This window comes from Homo sapiens, chromosome 15, assembly GCF_000001405.40.
Source record: "Homo sapiens chromosome 15, GRCh38.p14 Primary Assembly".
Lineage (NCBI taxonomy): Eukaryota > Metazoa > Chordata > Mammalia > Primates > Hominidae > Homo > Homo sapiens.
In genome coordinates, this window is record NC_000015.10 from 49,364,722 (window position 1) to 49,385,134 (window position 20,413).

Here is a 20,413-nt window from a genome sequence, read left to right on the forward strand (position 1 = left end):
AAGCAGATAAAATTTGCATAATTATTTACAGTAAAACCCATTCAGAAACTCACTTTGATAGTAATACTTTTATCTACCATTAGAGTTGGAAGAAACATTTGAGTAAAAAAGCATAGGGATGGGTCAAGGCATTTTTTTTTTTAAGAAAAATATACTCTATGTAATACATCTTGGAAACTACACAGACCATATCCTTTTATTTAATGTGAAGGCACAACTTTAACATTAAAAGCAAAGCATTTTAATTATTTATGATGTAACTGTCAGTACCAGCTCATAAAAATATATATTTGCAAACATATCATTGAAGACTTTCAGATTGTCAATTCAAAAATCAATTTAAAAAGTCAAAGTCTATTTGTAGAAAATCAATGACACATTATAGCAGTTCCACATAATATTATTGCTGGACAATCTGTTCACCAGACATCACAGGGTTTTCTTCGTTTTTTGCATAATACAGATGGTCCATCATCTGATAGCTGTTACCTTTCCAGAACTTTTTCATTTCCTTACATTTCCAGGCAACAACTGAGGCAATAATAAGTGTGCAAGTTACTAAATAGAGGAGAGCAGGTTGCCCCTTTTTCATCAGCACCAGAACAACAAATGTAAGTATCATGCCAATAGCATAGGCAACTGTAGAGGAAACATAGTATATATACGAAGAACCAGTCTAAACATCAACTCTTCTACAGTACGCAAGCAACAGGCCTGTACAATAATGTCTCCAAAGCCCAATATTGAAACAGGCATGATGCACACACTCATTACTGAGAAACAGATCAGCTTTGGTACTCTGATGACTACTGGCAATGTTTCAGTATTTTCAAAAGGTCCAGCTGCAAGTTTAACCATGATACTCTCACCATTCTTTGTGATGAATGGTGTTATGAAAACAAAAAATACATCATAGAGGAGGAGAAGGCCTAGAAGTATCACACATGACTTGAAGCTGGCCAACTTCAGTGTTTTAATTAAATTCAGACAGAAAGCAATCTCCAAGATATCTTGTAAAATCCAAGCCCACCTGTCTTCATTTTGAAACACAGCCCAAACAATAGCTATTGCTATGCACAGTCCAGAGAGAAACATAAGTCTCACTTCCATGCTTTTGCCGCGACACTCAATTGTGCATTGTCCATATGGCATCTTATGAATTAGTGCAGCAAGAGAGTTGTACAGACTCATTGCTGATACTATGCAGAAAATTGCTATCATAACATAAACTAACCATTTGTGGAAGAAATAAAGTAAGACCATCATAACACAGTAGATGACTACAAATATTACAACTGTAAGAGGACTAAAAGTTAGATATTCTTCCTTTTTTTTCCCTCATTTATCTATCTTCAGTTGTCACTGCTTTCAAGTTTTCCAATTCAACTAGTCCACTCCAGTATCCACCTAATGCCACAGTGAACACAGCAATTACAAAAATAACCACCATAGTATAATCAAAGTTAGGCCACGATGGAGAACACATTTTCACAGTAATGTTATTTCCTAGAGTCTGCTTCATATCTATAAAGTCTTTGTCACTTATAAATGCAATCAGTATTTTCACATCAGGAAATTCAGATCTGTTACCTGAGGTAGGAAATAGGATACTGTTATTGACAACCAACATTGCTTCAGCACCTCTTTTCTGTGCATTTCTGGTGTTTTCAAGAAAATGGCAGCTGCCCCATTGCACCACAACTGCTTTGTTCTTTATGTCAACAGGAGGAACATCAGAAAGGTTGCATAGTGGTGCGGAAGTCAGATTCATCAAACTAATGGAAGTTGCATTTTCTAGGGTACTTGGAAGAGCTGACCAATGGGGGTTATAAAGCATGCAGTAGTCCTTGGATGTGCCATTTCCAGACGCATGCAAGATTGCTTCCTGAGCGGCTGTCAGCTGGAGCAGGAAGCCCCAGAGCAGGGCGGCCGTGGCAGGGGACAGCCGCCGCTGCGGCCCCATCGGACTGGTGGGTGGCGGGTGGGGTGGCGCGGCGCGGCTCACTAGGTGGGGTAGGCTGGGAGTCCCGCCACTGCGCTGCCTCCGTGGCGGGGGCGGCCGGGCTAGGCTGGGATCGCCGCTGCTGCAGGGGCCGCCACTGCAGCCCACACTCTAATTTAGTGGCTAGTGTTCTAATTCCTTTGGGATTCATCTGAGTCCTTAATGAGGACTGGGCCAAGAAAAGTTATACTGAAGATAGGACTGTAAAAAACAGAACTCTGGGCCCTACCCCTGCTTCAACCAAAGAGCTCCGATTTTAATTTATTTTTTATTTTACACATAAAAATAAATTTTTTAATGTGTAAAAAATGTTCTGATAAATTTTCATTTGAACAAAGAATTCCACAGCTAAAACATGCCTAAAACTCTCTTTGGAGAAGGCTAGAAGCCCATGCCTCATAATTCTGACAAATGTTTGAAACCAGTCACTGAACAGTAAAGTTGCAAAGATAGCCTTTTATCAGAGAACCAAATATACTAGTTTTAAAAGTTCTTTGGGTTAATGTTTGTTTTATTTTTCTTACATGCAAAATCATAGCATTAGATCTAATAAAGAAAAGCCAAACATACTACCAAAGTTTTAAGCATAAGTAAATATTAATACTAAACAGAAGCATTGATAAAACATGCATTCAATTTGTTTCTCAATTGAGACATTCAGTGAAATGTTTTGAATATTATTTTTGAAAGAAATTATATTAAAGCAAAGCTTTAAAAAGGATATGGTTCCTGGAATATCTTAGTGAGTTTAATCTTGGTTTTCTTAGGTGCTTTGGAAATACCAGCCAGCTCATGCATCTTAAGATAATATAAAATCAATGGACTCTGACCTCCAAAATTGAAGAGAACACGATTAAACTCTGGACCAGTACTACTATAGTGCGACTGTAAGAGGAAGAAAATAATCAAGACAACGATTACTTTTGTGTTTCTAAAAAACTGTGAATAAAATATAACTTCATATTTAGCATAAAGTTACCATTTGATATATTAAAATAAAGGAAATTCTACAAAGCATCTTCTTAATTAGAGGAATTTACCAAAGTATGAGTCTATAAGTACATGCAGTAAGGCTCTTCTACTCTTTTGAGTTATCATCAGACTTGCATATAGGCAATAGACATTATTCAGTCTTAAGAACAGAAAAAAAAAAAAAAAAATGAAGAAAATGAACAAAGCCAGGAAAAGGCATAGGAAAAATATCTGAACAAATGATGGTCTCAATTTTCAAAATTTATGAAAAACACATCCAAGAAGTTCAGCAATTTCTAAGTAGAATAAATTCACACCTAGCACATCCCAGACAAAGTTTTTTAAAATAAAGACAAGGAGAAAAACCTCAAAAGCAAGAGTAAGCAACTCATATATAGGGGAACTTTAAAAGGATTAATAACTAACTTCTTATCATAACAAAACAGGCCAGAAGGCAGTGGGATAGCATAGAGGTGCTGATGGAAAAAAAAAAACCTGTTGACCAAAAATTCTATGTCAAGAATACAATAACCATAAATATAATTACTCCAAGATTCTATTATTCCCTTCTTATGGCAGAAATGTCAGTATAGCAACTACTAATATTTTAAGTTTTCCTCAATCTTTGTAATACCATTATGAAAGATTTTTTATTGATTCCACTTACTGTGGGGAAATAAAATTTTGTTTTCATTTGCTTTTATTGATACAAAAAGTTCTCTTGAATTTCTTTTGCTTATGGTCACTTTTTTATTCTATAGGTTTTTGCAAAAAATATGTTTCAGAATTCCTAGCAGCTACAGAACCATTTCAAATAATGGGACTATCATAATCAATAGCAATTCTTTGCTAGTAAAAAGTTAATGTCAATATCAGACATGTTTTCTATGATGTAAATCACTCCTTCATTTTAAGCTCCCATGATAATTCACATTGGGTTACGTATAGCTCAATCTTCAAAATGTATGCAAAACTAGCCCAAGCTCAGTTTAGATTTTTAAAAAATTTGCCTGTCTAGATAGTTGTTTTGCAACACTCTTCCTGTTTCTTTCTTGGGTACTATAAGATAAACATTCTATCTTACTAAAATTCTAGAAATAGACATTTCTGTTATTTTTCTGCAGTTATCAGTTATTAAGTTAAGAAAATCACAGTTTGCAGCCCTTTTTCCTCTATAAGAGTTCATGGTTTTTAAGAGTACTTCAGCCAGGTAAGAGGCAAATAGGTATTAAATGCAATCCCGTGGTGTTGTTTTTGTTTTGTTTTTGTTTGTTTGTTTGTTTTTATTTTTTTGAGACGGAGTCTCGCTCTGGAGTGCAGTAGCGTGATCTTGGCTCACTGCAAGCTCTGCCTCCCGGGTTCACGCCATTCTCCTGCCTCAGCCTTCCGAGTAGCTGGGACTACAGGCGTCCACCACCACGCCTGGCTAATTTTTTTATTTTTAGTAGAGACGGGGTATCACCGTGTTAGCCAGGATGGTTTTGATCTCCTGACCTCGAGATCCGCCCACCTCGGCCTCCCAAAGTGCTGGGATTACAGGCGTGAGCCACTGCACCCGGCCTGGTGTTTTGGTTTTTAAAGCAGAATGTCGCAAGTTGACCAAAAACCTCTTGCTAGGGACATTCCAAATAGCCAAACCAATGAGCAGAAACCCTAATGTTTCCATTCATCCCATGAAAGATAATAGCAGAAATTTGTCAGAGCACTTTAAGATTCCATGAAACAAGACTTTTATTGTCAAGTCAACCTAGCCTAAATTCAAAGAATCAAGCAACTCCATAAACTTAAGAATGATCATAAAGGATGAAATAGAAAGTCCAAGGGGTGATTTGGGTACCTAATTTCTCAGAAAATTTATTAAAGGATAATTGCTACAATAAGTAAAAAGCTAAACATTGATTTTTGAGGCTTGAATATGTGTTCTGCCAATGCTCATACCCAGTGTCACTTTCAGGGACTAGAAACCCACAGGCACCCATTTAGCATGTGGACAACTTCGGTGCCTGGAAAATTTTTCATCTTGAGCTGAAATCTATATCCCTGTATCTTTCACTTATTTATTGGCAAAACTTATACTTTTTTTGAGCCATACAGAAAAACTCTAATTCTGCTTTCCTACAGTAGCTCTCTACATATTTGAAAACAGTTATTATGGCCTTCAGAGTCTTTTCCTTCCAGAAGAAATACTTATAAATAGTTTGGCCATTGCTGAAGCAATATGATTTCAGAGCTCTTCATAATTAGGTTTAGATGAGGTTGTCAATGATGGAATTGGAGTCTTTATAAGAAGAAGAAGAGACCAGAGCTCACTCTCTCTGCCATATGAGGACACAACAAGGAAGAGGCCATCTGCAAGGCAGGAAGAGAGCCTTCACCAGAAAACCAAATTGGCTGGCTCCTTGATCTTGGATTTCCCATACTCCAGAACTATGAGAAATGAATTTCTGTTGTTTAAGCTACCCAGTCCATGGTATTTTGTTCTGGCAGTCCAAGCTGACTAGTACAATGGGACAGGGCAAAAAATGCAGCAATGTGCTATACTACTAAAGATGTATTTCCAATTTCTATCTGTTAGCAGCATCCTCTGAAAAAGGTTGTTTAATCTGTTACAAACCCATGTGTTAGCTACTAAACAAAGTACGAGAGACCATTTTTAGTGTTTGCTGAAGACCAGATATACAATTTTTATTACTTATCTCTGATTTCTAAATCTGGCAATATTGCCCCAAAGGAAATGGAGTGACATTGTCATTGATTCAAAATTGACTTCTATACATCACCAGTTAATATCTGAAGTGCCTGCAAACCATCCTTAGCCTCACTGTGAAGGTCAGAATAAAGTAGGAAGATATTTTATTAAACTTGGGTTATTAAATACCGGGAAAAACATAAATACTGACTTTCAGAAAGTGGTTTTTATATAGGCATAATTTTTAATTTTAAATAAATTATCTTATCAGACTGGATAAGATGATGTAGACAAAATTTTAACAATAAAGACTGTAACCAACTTAAAATCTAATTGTCTAACAAATTAAGATATCAAATTCAGAATTTCAGGTCAATAATCTCATCAAATTTTGGCTAAGGCAACACATGGTGGTGAGTACATGAAATCTCTACCTGCAAGGCACCTTCAAGAATGTCGAGAAACTAAGCATTCAAGACTCAAGAGTAACAGTATCTACATGTGGTCAATTATTCTAGGACCATGGCTTAAGAAGTAAGGACAGGTCAACTATTGTTGATACTCCTTTGAAGTTTTGCCTGCAGCTTTGCTGCTTATTAAGATCATATTCATGTGCAAACACCAGATGGAGCCTTTGTATGTCAACCAAAGGAGAAACAGTGACAAGACATGTTGTGAGGAAAAAAGATAAATATTATGATATTTTTCATTAGAAATGGGGATATTTTCAGAAGAAAATAAAACTTTTTAATATTAAGATTAAACCTCAAACAAATCTCTTTTGACCATTAAATTCTTTTCCAAAATATATGGTAAGAATGTAGTAACCAGCATTGCCTATGTACAGCACAGTCAATTGCAAATATATTGCAAATTAAACAAGTAAGAAATTTTTTCATAATTATTATACTCCAAACCTTTGTTGCTAGTCTTGATAATCTTGATTCTTCCTTGGATATGGGCAACGTATATGCTCTTGGGTTGTTCAGAATCTTTATAATATTGAAGTCGATACCTAAAACAGAAAATAAAATACTTTTTAAAATTCTGGTATTTTTTTCCTTCACAGAAAAAGCATGATACCTCTTTCGCCTTTTAACAATGCACCCTAAACATGGAGAAAGGCAAACATGGATAAAGAGTGTTAAGACATTGTTACAACTTGTCCCAAAGAGGAAATAAATATTTCATATTTTTACTCAATAGGGCTTTATTATTATTGTAAATATTCATTTATAAATAAATGAAATAAAATTCACTTATAAATAAATGAAATAAAATTCACTAATAAATAAATGAAATAAAATTCACTTATAAATAAATGAAATAAAATTCACTTATAAATAAATAATGAAATAAAATTCACTTATAAATAAATGAAATAAAATTCACTTATAAATAAATGAAATAAAATTCACTTATAAATAAATGAAATAAAATTCACTTATAAATAAATGAAATAAAATTCACTTATAAATAAATGAAATAAAATTCACTTATAAATAAATGAAATAAAATTCACTTATAAATAATGAAATAAAATTCACTTATAAATAAATGAAATAAAATTCACTTATAAATAAATGAAATAAAATTCACTTATAAATAAATGAAATAAAATTCACTTATAAATCAATGAAATAAAATTCACTTATAAATCAATGAAATAAAATTCACTTATAAATCAATGAAATAAAATTCATTTATAAATAAATGAAATAAAATTCATTTATAAATAAATGAAATAAAATTCATTTATAAATAAATGAAATAAAATTCATTTATAAATAAATGAAATAAAATTCACTTATAAATAAATGAAATAAAATTCACTTATAAATAAATGAAATAAAATTCACTTATAAATAAATGAAATAAAATTCACTTATAAATAAATGAAATAAAATTCATTTATTTACATTATGTCATCCTCGCAAACCATTCAGTGAGCTAAGAAACATTTTCCATAATTTACAGTTGAGAAGACTAAAGTGCAAGTTCTATGACTTGTTTAAGCTACTATTTACTAAGTAGTAGAAGGAGAGGACATAAATTGGGTCTTTTGCTTCTAAGTCCAAAGCAATGACCCTCTAATTAAATGCAATAAGCAACCTGGGCCTCTGCCTGTCAGAGTCCTGTTTTTCCATATTCTGACAATACACCCAGATAAGAGGAGACTTGGTGACCTTTCCTTTCAACTGGCATGAATATGCATGAGGGTACAGAGGGATTCGTGCCACTTCTTAAAGGAAAAGAGAGCCATGTGATTTAATCAGGTATGTCAATCAGCCTAAAAGCAGAAGCTAGGTATTAAGTGTATCTTAACATCTGAGAAAAAAGGTGATCTGAGAGGTTTGTTCTAGACTCTGGCACTGATTATCAGTTACCAGGTAGACTAATCAGATCTAGTGATTGTAATGTTGATGACAAACCTTTTAAGAGTTAAAGAAAGTTACTTGGGTTGATTTTTGACATTAGACATTAGGAAATATTAGGCATTAGCTTGAAATACTAAAGGCAGGTAAGCATTTATGTCCACCAGGGATTAAAGAATTGGTTAGCAAGGAACTTACATTTAAACATTTTGAGTAGAAAGAATATTAGATTTAGAATTAGAATGGGCAAGAAAAGTAATAAACCATATTTTTTTCTTCAAAATTTGCTCAATTTTGAAAATTCTTAAATACACATATAATACTTAATATATATGATATTACTTAATTTCTAGTCTTCTATGAACCAGTATCATTAAAAAAATAAAAGAACCTCTCCATGTTCACTGTACACACAATAAAAAGTTTACTTTTCAAATCACCTGAGCTTAATTGTGGAATTGCTACTTAACAGATAGTAGTATACATTAATATGAGGCAAGGTGTCTAAGCTGGGAGTAAGGCAATGGCAAAATAGTAAAGCAAAACAATTTAAGGAGAAAAACAGTCAAATAAAAATTGCAAAGAAACTCATCTACATATGATGACTAATCAATAACATTAAAATGCCTATATTTATTAGCTTTTTTTCCTCTAACCCATTGATTAGTTTTAGGGAAAAATGTTAATATTCCCCCAAATTATAGTTTTAGTGCTTCTTCTGTTCTCAGCATCTCTGAAAGCTTGGGAATATTACCTGAAAATCCAAAAATGACTCTATCTGATAAAACTATAATAAAATGTCTTAACTGTTCTTACTAAGTCTCCAGAAATTTCACTAGTGAAAAAATGTTCCAGTCTTCCTCCACTTTCATTGGGAAAATTTCATTTCCATAATTATCCCCTATTTATTTTAGAGATGTTATCCCCTCTAAAAGGGAGACATGTAAGTAAGTATGGTTATTGCTATCCACTTTTACAGTTTTTATTCTAACAGTCTTCCTGAAATGCAAATAACTCCTATATGTTGGAAAAATTAAAGAAAGGTCAAGTGTAGGTCACAAATATTAATACAATAATTGACTAAACTATACAAACAGAAAAAGTATTGCTGATAGATACACTTTAGAATATATGTAATTAAAATCAGAACTACTCTCAGAAAGAGACTTTTAATCTTGTATTGAAATGCAAGTTAATTCAAGAAAAGGCCTCATACCTGCATTAAAAGACAGACAAATGATGTAATATTTAACTTGTTTTAAGTTAAAATGCTAAAAGATACAAGTATCATTTTCCATGATTCCTGATTTGGGTAACTGGTTTTTCCATTAACCAACCACACCAGATAAAAGCTCTACTTTATAAAGATAGTTGGTATCAAAGCAAGAATTTTTGAGGCTAGATTACTTCAAGATCAGATCTTTCAGAGTCATTTACAAAGAGAATACCTGAGACCCAAGCCTGATATAATTTTACAGTCGACTTTTAAATCCTGTAAATGGTCAGAATTCCCGAGATTTTTAGTTGTTCCAATGAAGTCTAGGAAGGAATCCAATAAGCCTCATAAATAAGAACTATAGAATGCACCAAAATAGCACAGTAATAATAATTTTAGAAGCTCAAGAGTTGGAATGTACCTTGGAGAGAGGGGTAGAAAAGAAATGCCAGGAGAAATAGAGAAAATATAGGTATCCATTAGGCAAAATGTATGTGATCTTAGCAAATAAAAAATAAAATGTGAATGCAATTTTGTCCAATAATATAGGAAAATGATGAGTATTTCAAATAAACTATTGCATATTCATGAGTTTTTGAGACTGAGTCTCGCTCTGTTGCCCAGGCTGGAGTGCAGTGGTGCCATCTAGGCTCCGCCTCCCAGGTTCAAGCGATTCTCCTGCCTCAGCCTCCTGAGTATTGAGATTACAGGTGTTCACCACCATGGCCAGCTGATTTTTACTATTTTTAGTAGAGACTGGGTTTGACCATGTTGGTCAGGCTGGTCTCGAACTCCTGACCTCAAAAGATCCTCCTACCTTGGCTTCCCAAAGTGGTAGGATTACAGGCGTGAGCCACCATGCCCGGCCTCATGAGTATATTCTTAATGTCTTATTGTGTGTATTTTCTGATCATGCTTCTCTGACTGTTTCAGATCTTTATATGCATACTTCCAAGTCCTTTCAATCTGATCATCTGCAGGCCCAGTCATTGGTTTGTATATATATTAAATCTCAAATGAGTTATATCTCTCTACATACCTACTTACAGATCCATCCTCCCACCTCTCTGTGTGAAATTCATGGTTCAAATTGGCAAACTGAAAGATTAAGGACCTTCTCAATGCTCTAAATTAGAATTGCTTCTCCAAGTAATGTTAACATAATATACATAATTATAAATAACTTCACAGAGAGATTATACAGTCCAAGTGTTTATACATATACTTTGTTAACTATGAAGTGTATACTTATGTAGATCGCTAGCATCGTTAGGTTTCACTAACTCTGCACCAAATTTAGTATATCCAAAAACATGAAAATTTTTTATGTTATAATAAATTAGTGATTCATATCACACTTGGTTCCCAAGGAAAGTGCCATCTTATTATTACTTTATTTTGGCATTTTTGGGAGTTACTTTTATCCATTATTTCTTACTATGAATTATATTTGTATCTCTAAGGACCAAATCATTGCTCAGGCAAGTTATAGATGCAAGACACAAGTTATTATTTTTAAAGCATTTCTATTTTTTTTTATAAGAACCAAAGTGACAAGTATCTGAATAAGAAACTGATGTATTTAAGGCTCTGTGGAGCCAAACATTACATATGTTTTATAAAAGAGTAGCTTTTAAGCTTAAGATTTGATCAAAGGTGCTGGTGAAGAAACTTATTGACCCATTTAAAAATCTTTCCTATAGAATGAAAAACATTTTTTAAAAATCCACCACTAAATGGGTTCACAGGCAAAACTTAGAGCATACCGTCTGATAAATTACTTTTCCCATGATATGTAAATTTATCTACACAAGAACTTTTAGGATGATATAAAATTGAGACTAATTTAATTGTATGTGGAGTACAAACTATGCTTATTGAGAATAATAAAATTAGAAGGAATTGAGACTATCTTTATTTTATAACCAAACCTTGACAGTCTTGACTGGTACTGTCATAAAAATTCTTAACCATCTTTGTATTAGTGATTGTTTGAACTTATTATTGATGTGTTCCTCCTTTGTATTAGTGATTGTGTGAACTTATTATTGATATGTGTTCCTCATTGAAACCATGTTTCCACAGTTCCATATCTAAAAATGTCCCATAAAAGAGAAGGCCAGGAAAATTTGCAATACTTTGTGTGAAAAGAGAGATAAATGAAGTTCAATTTATTTATTTTTAATTTTGTTGCTTTTTTGGTGTCATATCTAAGACTCATTCCTAAATCAAGGTCACGAAGAGTTACTCCTGTTTTCTCTGAGATTTTTATATTTTTAGCTATTATATTTAAGTATATAATCCATTTTGAGTTAAATTTTGTATATTGTGTGAGGTACAAGTCCAACTTTATTCTTTTGTAGGTGAATACCCCAGTTGTCACAGCAGTGCTGAAAAAATCATTCTTTTTACATTGAATGGTCTCAACATTCTTCTAGAAAATCAATGACCCATGAATGTGAGATTTATTACTGGACTCTCCAGTCTATTTCATTTACCTATATGTTTACCCTTATGCCAGTACCACATTGTCTTGATTAATGTGGCTTTGTAGCAAGTTTTGAGATCAGGAATTGTGAGTCTTCCAACCTTGTTCTTCCTTTCTCAACAGTGATTTGGTTATTCTTGTTCCCTTGCATTTCCATATGAATTTCTATACCATTCTCAAAACAGGTAGCTAGAATTTAATAGGCATTGTGTTGCATTTGTAGACCATTTTGGGGAGTATTGTATTAACAATATTAAATATTCCAATACATTAGCATGGGAGGTTTTTTCATTCATTTAGGTCTTCTATACTTTCTTTCAATACTGGTTTGTAATTTTCAGTGGATAAGCCTTATCTTATCCACTTTTGCTAATCTATTCCTAAGTATCTTATTTGTTTTCATGGTATTGTAAATGGGGTGGTTTTCTTTTCTATTAAAAATGTACAATTAAGTTATTATTGACTATAGTCACCCTGTTGTGCTATCAAATACTAGGTCTTATTCATTTTTTCTAGCTACTTTTTTTTATTGTCTCCATTAATCATCCCAACTTCTTCCCCAGCCTGCCACTACCCTTCCAGCCTCTGGTAACCATCCTTCTAGTCTCTATGTCCATGAGTTCAATTGTTTTAATTTTTAGATCCCATAAATAATTGAGAACATGCAATGTTTGTCTTTCTGTGCCTGGCTTATTTCACTCCAGTTTCTTCCATGTTGTTGCAAATGCCTGGACCTTACTCTTTTTATGGCTGAATAGTACTCCATTGTGTATATGTACACATTTTCTTATTCTTTCATCTATTGATGGACATTTAGGTTGCTTCCAAATCTTAGCTATTGTGAACAGTGCTGCAACATACAGGAGTACAGATATTTCTTTGATATACTGATTTCCTTTCTTTTGGGGGTACATATCCAGCAGTGAGATTACTAGATTATATGGTAGCTCAATTTTTAGTTTTTTGAGGAAACTCCAAACTGTTTTCCATAGTGGCTGTACTAATTTACATTTCCACAAACAGTGTATGAGGGTTCCCTTTTCTCCATATCCTTGCCTATTATTGCCTGTCTTTTGGAAATAAACCATTTCAAGTGGGGTGAGATGGTATCTCGCAGTTTTGATTTGCATTTCTCTGATGATCAATAATGTTGAGCACTTTTTCATATGCCTGTTTGCCATTTGTACGTCTTCTTTTGAGAAATGTCTATTCAAGCCTTTTGCTCATTTGTTGACTAGATTATTCAATTCTTTTCCCATAGAGTTACTTGAGCTCCTTATATACCCTGGTTATTAATCCCTTGTCAGATAAGTAGTTTGCAAATATTTTCTGCCATTCTGTGGGTTGTCTCTTCACTTTGTTGATTGTATCCTCTGCTGTACAGAAGCTTTTTAACTTGATGTGATCACATCTGTCAATGTTGCCTTTGATTGTCTGTGTTTGTGGGGTGTTGCTCAAAAAAATGTCACTTAGACCAATGTCCTGGAGAGTTTCCCTGATGTTTTCTTGCAGTAGTTTTGTAGTTTGAAGTTTCAGATGTAAGTCTTTATTTCATTTTGATTTCATTTTGTCTATGACAAGAGATAGCGGTGTAGTTTCAGTCTTCTGAATATGGAGATCTAGTTTTCTCAGCATCACTTGTTGAAGAGACTGTCTTTTCCCTAATGTATGTTCTTGGCACTTTTGTTAAAAATGAGTTCACTGTAGGTGTGTGGGTTTGTTTCTGGGTTCTATATTCTGTTCCATTGGTCTGTGTGTCTGTTTTTATGCCAGTACCATGCTGTTTTGGTTCCTCTAGTTTTGCTCTTTTTGCTTAGGATAGCTTTGGTTTTTCTTGGTGTTCTTTTAGGATTTTTTTTTTCTATTTCTGTAAAGAATATCATTGGTATTTTGATAGGGATAGCATTGAATCTGTAGATTGCTTTGGTTAGTATGAACATGTTAACAATATTGATTATTCCAATCTGTGAACATTGAATATTTTTCCAATATTTCTATTTTTTGATGTCCTCTTCAATGTATTTCATCAGTGTTTTATAGTTTTCATTATAGAGTTCCTTCACTTCTTTGATAATTCCTAGGTATTTAATTTTATGTGTGACTATTGTAAATGGGTTACTTTTAAGATTTCTTATTCAGATTGTTCACCGTTGGCATATAGATGTGCTACTGATTTTTGTTTGTTGATTTTGTATCCTGAAGCTTTACTGAATTTATCAGTTCTAATAGCTTTCTTGTGGAGTCTTTAGGTTTTTCCAAATATAAGATAAACTCATCTGCAGATAACAATCATTTGACTTCTTCCTTTCCAATTTGGATGCCCTTTATTTCTTTCTCTTGTCTGATTGCTCTAGCTAGGACTTCCAGTACTATGTTGAATAACAGAGGTGAAAGTGGGCATCAATGTCATGCTCTAGATCTTAGAGCTTTTAGTTTTTCCTCACTCAATATAATACTAGATGTGGGTCTGTTGTATATGGCTTTTATTATGTTGAGGTATGTTCCTGCTATTCCCAGTTTTTTGAGGGTTTTTATCTTGAAGGGATGTTAAACTTTATCAAATGCTTTTTCAGCATCAATTGAAAGGATCATATCATTTTTATCTTTCATTTTGTTGATATGATGTATTACATTGATCGATTTGCATATGTTGAACCATCCCTGCATCCCTGGAATAAATCCCACTTGGATCTGATGAATAATCTTTCTAATGTATTGTTTAATTTCTAATGTATTGTTTGCTAGTGTTTTCTTCAGGGTTTTCACATCAATATTAATCAGAGATATTGGTCTGTAGTTTTCTTTTTTTGATGTGTCTTTATCTGGTTTTGGTATCAGGGTAATACTGGCCTTGTAGAGTAAATTTGGAAGTATTCCCTCCTTCTCTAGTTTTTGATTTTGAGTAGGATTGGTGTTAGTTCTTTAAATGTTTGCTAGAATTCAGCTATGAGATCCTGGGCTTTTCTTTACCAGGAGACTTTTTGTTAGGACTTTGATCTCAATATTTGTTATTCATCTGTTGAGGTTTTGGATTTATTTATGGTTCAATCTTGGTAGGTTGTATGTGTCTAGAAATTTGATTTTCCAATGTATTGCCATATATTTGCTCACAGTAGCCACTGATGATCCTTTCAGTTTCTGTGGTATCAGTTGTATTGCTTCCTTTTTCATTTCTAATTTTATTTATTTGTATTTGGATGATTTTAGACATAATCCAGCAGAATCCTCTGGATTACAAGGTAGAGACTCTTTTCTCACCCCTTACTTTCTCCCAAACAGGGTTTCTTTCTCCATTCTGAGCCACCTGAAGCTGGAGCTGGAGTGACACATGTACCACTGTGGCCACCACCACTATGATTGTACTGGGTCAGACCTGAAGCCGGCACAGCACTGGGTCTTGCTCAAGGCCGGCTGTAACCACTCCCTGGCTACTGCCTATGTTTGCTCAAGGCCCCAGGGCTTTACAATCAGCTGGTGGCAAAGCCATCCTGGCCTATTTCCTACCCTTCAGGGTGTTGAGGTACCCCAGGCCCTGGGTGGGTCCAGAGGTGCCATCCAGGAGTCAGGAACTAGTGTCAAAAACCTTAGAAGTCTAACTGGTATTCTATTGTATTACAGCTGAGCTGGCACTCAAACCACAGGACCTCTCTTTCTTCCCCTTTCCAAAGGCAGAGGCGCCTCACCCCATAGCCACTGACACCCCAGGCCATGGGGAGTACTGCCAGACTACTACCTAAGTTCCCTTAAGGCCCACAAGCTCTTCAGTCAGTTTGTGGTGAATGCTGCCTGGCCTGGGCCTCACCCTTCAGGGCGGCGTGCTCCCCTCTGTCCAAGGGCAGGTCCAGAAATGCTGTCCAAGAGTCAAATCCTGGAACTGGGGACCCCAAGAGCCCACGTGGTGCTCTGCCCTGCCATGGCTTTGCTGGTACCTAAGGTGAAGACAAAGTCCTCTTTACCTTTCCCTCTGCTTTTCTCAAGCAGGAGTTTTGCGTTGATTAAAAAAAAATATATTTAATAAAATGTAATATTCATTCCAAATGAAACACTAAGTAAACCCATAAAAGAAGGTTATGTCTCTAACATGCTAAAGAAATCATCTTGAAATAAAAATTCAAAATATTACTTAAATGCAGAATAATTTGATGCATGCCATTAAAATCAGGGACAAAGTTTGGATTCTTTCTATGGTAGTTATGTAAATTGGCTCATTTAACATCCACTTCAAAGTCCTTTACTTTTTTTTCTACTTTATTTTTTTTCTGCCCTTTATTTTTTTCTACTCAAGCTAAACACTTGAGCTACTTAACTCCTCTGAATTGGATTTGATTTGATTTAATTGGCCCCTTGTGACACAGCTGTGGTCAATGAAATGTCGGCAGAAGCCCCTTGTGTTAGTCCATTCTTGCATTGCTGTAAAGAAACACCTGAGGCTGGGTAACTAATAAAGAAAATAGGTTTAATTGGATTATGGTTCTGCGGGATGTACAAGAAACATAGTGCCAGCATCTGCTTCTGGTGCACGCCTCAGGGAGATTACAATCGTGGTAAAAGGCAAAGGAGGAGCCCATGTGTCATCTGGTGAGAAACGAAGCAAGAGCAAGGGGGAGGGGAGGTGTCATGCATTTTTAAACAACTGATCAACTGATCTCACAGGAACTCAGAGCAACAGCTCACTCATCACCACAGGGATGGTGGTAAGCCATTCATGAAGGATCTGCCCCCGCCTCCTGGTCCAAGTATCTCCCTCTAGGCCCATCTCCAACACTGGGGATTATATCTCAACATTAGATTTGGAGGGCACACATATCCAAATCATATCACCCCTGGGGAAGGTTTTATTTCCTAAATAAAAAGGCAAAACCTGATAAAGAAAAGGCTTACTATATGCCTGGTGTCCTTTCTCTTTTGTCCTGTGTGGCTGGAATGCCAGGAGATACAGCAATTATCTTGTGACAATATAAAAGTAACATGCTAAGGATGCTGAAGCAGGAGGACATAAGAAACATGGTTCCTTGGTGACATCCATGAGAAGTAATAGCTACCTTTATATTTCTTCTCATGTAAAAATTATTTTTTGTTATGTAAAATATTAACTCTTTACTTGCTTCAGTGATATTTATAAGGTACTTTGTATTTGCCAGTAGCTGAAATTTTAGTAGATATTCCCACCATCACAACTGTTATTTAACACTGCTCTGTAAATCCTAACCAATGCAGTAAGCCAATAAAAATAAATAAGAGGTGTAAATATTAGAATGAGGAAGACAACACTAATTGTTTTTTGTTTTTACACGTGATATTATGGTCTTCCAAGCAAACACAAGATAATCATTTTAATAAGCATTGTTAAGTAGGAGAGTTTAGTTGCAAATTACAAATACATAAAAATTTATCACTGTTATAAATGTCAGCAGTTGACCAGTTAGACAATAAAATATTTTAAAATCTCATGCCTAATTTTAAAATATGTGAAATATGTAGGAAGAAATTATTTAAGAAATGTTTAGGACCTAGATGCAGAACATTACAAACTAAAGATACACATGATATTTCTAAATGTATAGAATAAAAATTATGAAGGTATAAGTTCTCCCCCAAATAAATTATAAATATTAAATACAATTCTAAACAATCTATATATGATTGTTTGGTGGGGAGGGGAACAGGGCAAACTTATTCTAAAGTGCAAATTAAAAATTTTAGTATAGGTACAATATGCAGGAAGTAGTGAAAAAAGTCATGATAGAAGAATTATACTGTCAGATATTAAAATGTATAAAACAATAATGATTGAAATAATATGGTGTGGACATAAAATTAGGTATTGCAATCATTAGGGAAGAGTAACATAATTTATAGTTTCAAGCAAATATTAATGCGTTTACTATTTAGCAAATGTGACGTTCCTAATCATTAAGAAAAGATGAATCATTGAATAAAAAGAAATAAGGCAAATGTTAACTGTTTAGGAAAAAGTAAATTTGATCTCTACCACACCACATATTGAAATGAAATTTCTTTCCCTTTTTTTCTTATTCTCCCCATATTCATGTAGAAATGACTTGTCCACTTACAAAGGTACCTAAATACTGCAAAAGTAGCATGCAATTTAAGTGTAATGAAAGGACAGAGAAAAGCAGAAGTGGCAACAAAATGGGCCAGGAATCATTCTCAAAATGCATATTGTTTTTAACAGCTAACTTAATAAACAAGGACATCTTATTCATTACACTCTTCACAGTGTCTATGAGATAAAAAAGAACAATCACTGTGAAGATTCCCAGCTAGCTATTCTTGTTACTAGGGTAAGATGGAGCTCTCCTTTTTTATGGAGGCCTTATAAAGAAAAGACTCTATGGGTAGCTGATAAAGGTTTTGAGAATATCTTTACCATAATGAGAATGAAATTCACAACCTTTTAAAAAGCAACAATCATAGGTAGATGCTGAGTACAATTTTAAAAAGCCATTAAACTCAGAAGCAAGGTTTAAGTTCTCATTGTGGTAGAAATGTAAATCGGTTCATTTAACATTTACTTCAATCTCCTTGTCTTTTTTTCCTACTTTGTGCTGTCGTGCATAAACATTTTGAGGTGTTCCATTCTTGTGTAATCTTAGCTCCCTAACAAAGAATAAACAGTTGATGGATTGGAAAATTAAATCTGGATTAAAAAAAGCAGAACAATATATAAACTAGAAAAAATATATGTATAGGTGGTGGAGAAGTCTACAAAAGATGAGATTACACAGTAAAACATTAATATACAGGCATATCTTGTTTAACTGCACTTTATTGTACTTCACAGATATTGCTTTTTTACAAATGGAATGTTCACGGAACTCTGTGTAGAGCAAGTCTGTTGTTGCCATTTTTCCAACACCTGTGTTCACTTCCTGTCTCTGTGTCAGCATTTTTTAGCAGTAAACTATTTTTAAATTAAGGTATGCACTTTTTATTAGACAAAATGCTATTATACCCTTAAGAGACTACAATATAGTATAAACATAACTTTTATATACACTGGGAAACCAAAACATTTGTATGACTCACTTTGTTGCAATATTTGTTTTATTGCAATGGTCTTACACAAAGCCTGCAATATCTCTGAGGTATGCCTATATTTTATTATGTAAAAATTCAAAAGTCCTGCTAGGCAAAAAGTACAGTCCCACAAAATGAAAACTGGCAAAAAATATTTCTAACAGAATGACAGATGAAACAAAAACCTCAGTAGATAACAGATGACGGACATAAGAAGTAAGTTATAAAAAAGGAATACGATTGGCAAATAATTTTTTAATTTCACCAGAAACTAAAGCAATCAAAGAAATGCTGATATGCTATTTAAAGACAAACAAAGAAAAAGATAATGTGCCAGGTTGTTGAGACTCATAATCTCACGTGCTAATGATGGGCCATAGTTTTCTCTACCATTTGTCATTCTCCCCCCAAATACAGGAGACACCTGGCTTTGAATGAGGAGCCAGCAGCTTCTGTTTCTTGTTTTAACATCCCAATGTGTTCCTCACTGGGACTGAGGGAAAAAGTATTCCAAAGTTACTTCTGTCCTCCTAAGGAATTCTCTTGATTCCTCAACATTCCTCTTTGCCATGTTTTATAGGTTCAAGGTGGGTTAATATCCTGCAAGGTAGGACTTCTCTTTAGGATGTACCTATTAATGTCATCAGCCTTTAAGAATTCAGAAGAAACTAGAACAGAAACAGCCTCATTTTAACATCCATTACACAGTTCAAGCCGATTTGTGTTACAACCAAAAAAACTTTGACTAAGAAACTTGTATGAACTCCTCAATTTCTCAAGGGTATTTTACTCTTTGAGCACTAGTAGCAAAAACTGCTATATATTATCACTCATTCTATCCATATTCATTCATTACAAAAGTGCCTACTGAGTGTTAATTATGCTCAATGCCTGGAATACAAGGATGAAGACAGGGCTCACTGTCTGTGGGGATGGGGTGGGGACGAGTCTCAGATGTATTCTTAGGTAGCTGCAATGCAACATAATAGCTCTATAGCATAAAAACAATAGGGAAGTGCCACAGGAACACAGCGATCCTCTTAGTTGTTGATCACTTGGGAATTTCAAGGAATTGGAAAACATTCTTGTGTGTGTGACTTTCCTACCAACAGAATTAAACAGTCATATTATACCAGATTGGCATTGTTTTCATTCTGCTACTCAAAGTATAAATAAGCTGTGGCACAAAAATGCCTTATAAACTGTTCTGCTGTGACTAGTAATAGTTAAGATTATAGATCCAAGATTTAAAATGACAACAATATGTACTAAAGTATTAATAATTCCCTTAAATATTTCTCCTTATCTTATTTTCTTGCTGTGTTTTATATGTTCTTTATAATTACTTTGACAAGATTTTTAATTGATTGGGACATTTATTGGAACAATATTTTATATGTATGATTCAATACATACTATTCTGTTTTTCAGACCATGGCTCCAGTTTTTTTCCATGAAAAACATTTCAATTATATTCAAAGTGAATGGCCCACCAATGGCAGAGAATTTCAGGACCTTGCTCTTCCTGTAAAACGTGCTCTAATAGCATTTGAGTCTTCTCTGAAGGTATCTCCTAAGACAATGTCACTCAAGGGTTTTGGAGGTTTGGAGAAAGGTTTGGCAAGGTTTC

The 20,413-nt window shown here is 34.3% G+C and overlaps 2 protein-coding genes and 1 pseudogene across 26 annotated transcripts in view, besides 3 other annotated features; 1 reads left to right on the top strand and 2 right to left on the bottom strand.

The window, feature by feature from the left end:
• Positions 1–3,019, top strand: part of GALK2 (galactokinase 2) — a 211,967-nt gene extending 208,948 nt beyond the window's left edge. For all 6 annotated transcript variants that reach the window (XM_047432347.1, XM_024449892.2, XM_024449894.2 and 3 more), the window contains one exon: positions 2,770–3,019. In XM_047432347.1, coding sequence (XP_047288303.1) covers positions 2,770–2,810 — 41 coding nt within the window. In that variant the 3' untranslated portion in view covers positions 2,811–3,019. The remainder of the gene's footprint in view (positions 1–2,769) is intronic.
• Positions 1–20,413, bottom strand: part of FAM227B (family with sequence similarity 227 member B) — a 293,849-nt gene that overhangs the window by 37,752 nt on the left and 235,684 nt on the right. For 17 of the 20 annotated variants that reach the window (XM_047432224.1, XM_047432222.1, XM_047432221.1 and 14 more), the window contains 2 exons: positions 6,581–6,678; positions 2,727–2,887 (listed from right to left, as the gene is read on the bottom strand). In XM_047432224.1, the coding sequence (XP_047288180.1) occupies positions 2,727–2,887; positions 6,581–6,678 (259 nt within the window). The remainder of the gene's footprint in view (positions 1–2,726; positions 2,888–6,580; positions 6,679–20,413) is intronic. The other 3 variants (XM_017021995.2, XM_011521321.3, XM_047432225.1) reach the window with 2 other exon arrangements.
• Positions 11–2,106, bottom strand: LOC100420615 (signal peptide peptidase like 2A pseudogene; annotated as a pseudogene).
• Positions 7,573–8,126: an enhancer, noted in NCBI's record as "OCT4 hESC enhancer chr15:49664491-49665044 (GRCh37/hg19 assembly coordinates)". NCBI's record gives its function as "activates a minimal SCP1, AML or CMV promoter by ChIP-STARR-seq in primed H9 embryonic stem cells {active_cell/tissue: H9 hESC(primed)}" and the evidence as "EXISTENCE:reporter gene assay evidence [ECO:0000049][PMID:30033119]".
• Positions 14,813–15,338: an enhancer, noted in NCBI's record as "H3K27ac-H3K4me1 hESC enhancer chr15:49671731-49672256 (GRCh37/hg19 assembly coordinates)". NCBI's record gives its function as "activates a minimal SCP1, AML or CMV promoter by ChIP-STARR-seq in primed H9 embryonic stem cells {active_cell/tissue: H9 hESC(primed)}" and the evidence as "EXISTENCE:reporter gene assay evidence [ECO:0000049][PMID:30033119]".
• Positions 15,339–15,863: an enhancer, noted in NCBI's record as "H3K27ac-H3K4me1 hESC enhancer chr15:49672257-49672781 (GRCh37/hg19 assembly coordinates)". NCBI's record gives its function as "activates a minimal SCP1, AML or CMV promoter by ChIP-STARR-seq in primed H9 embryonic stem cells {active_cell/tissue: H9 hESC(primed)}" and the evidence as "EXISTENCE:reporter gene assay evidence [ECO:0000049][PMID:30033119]".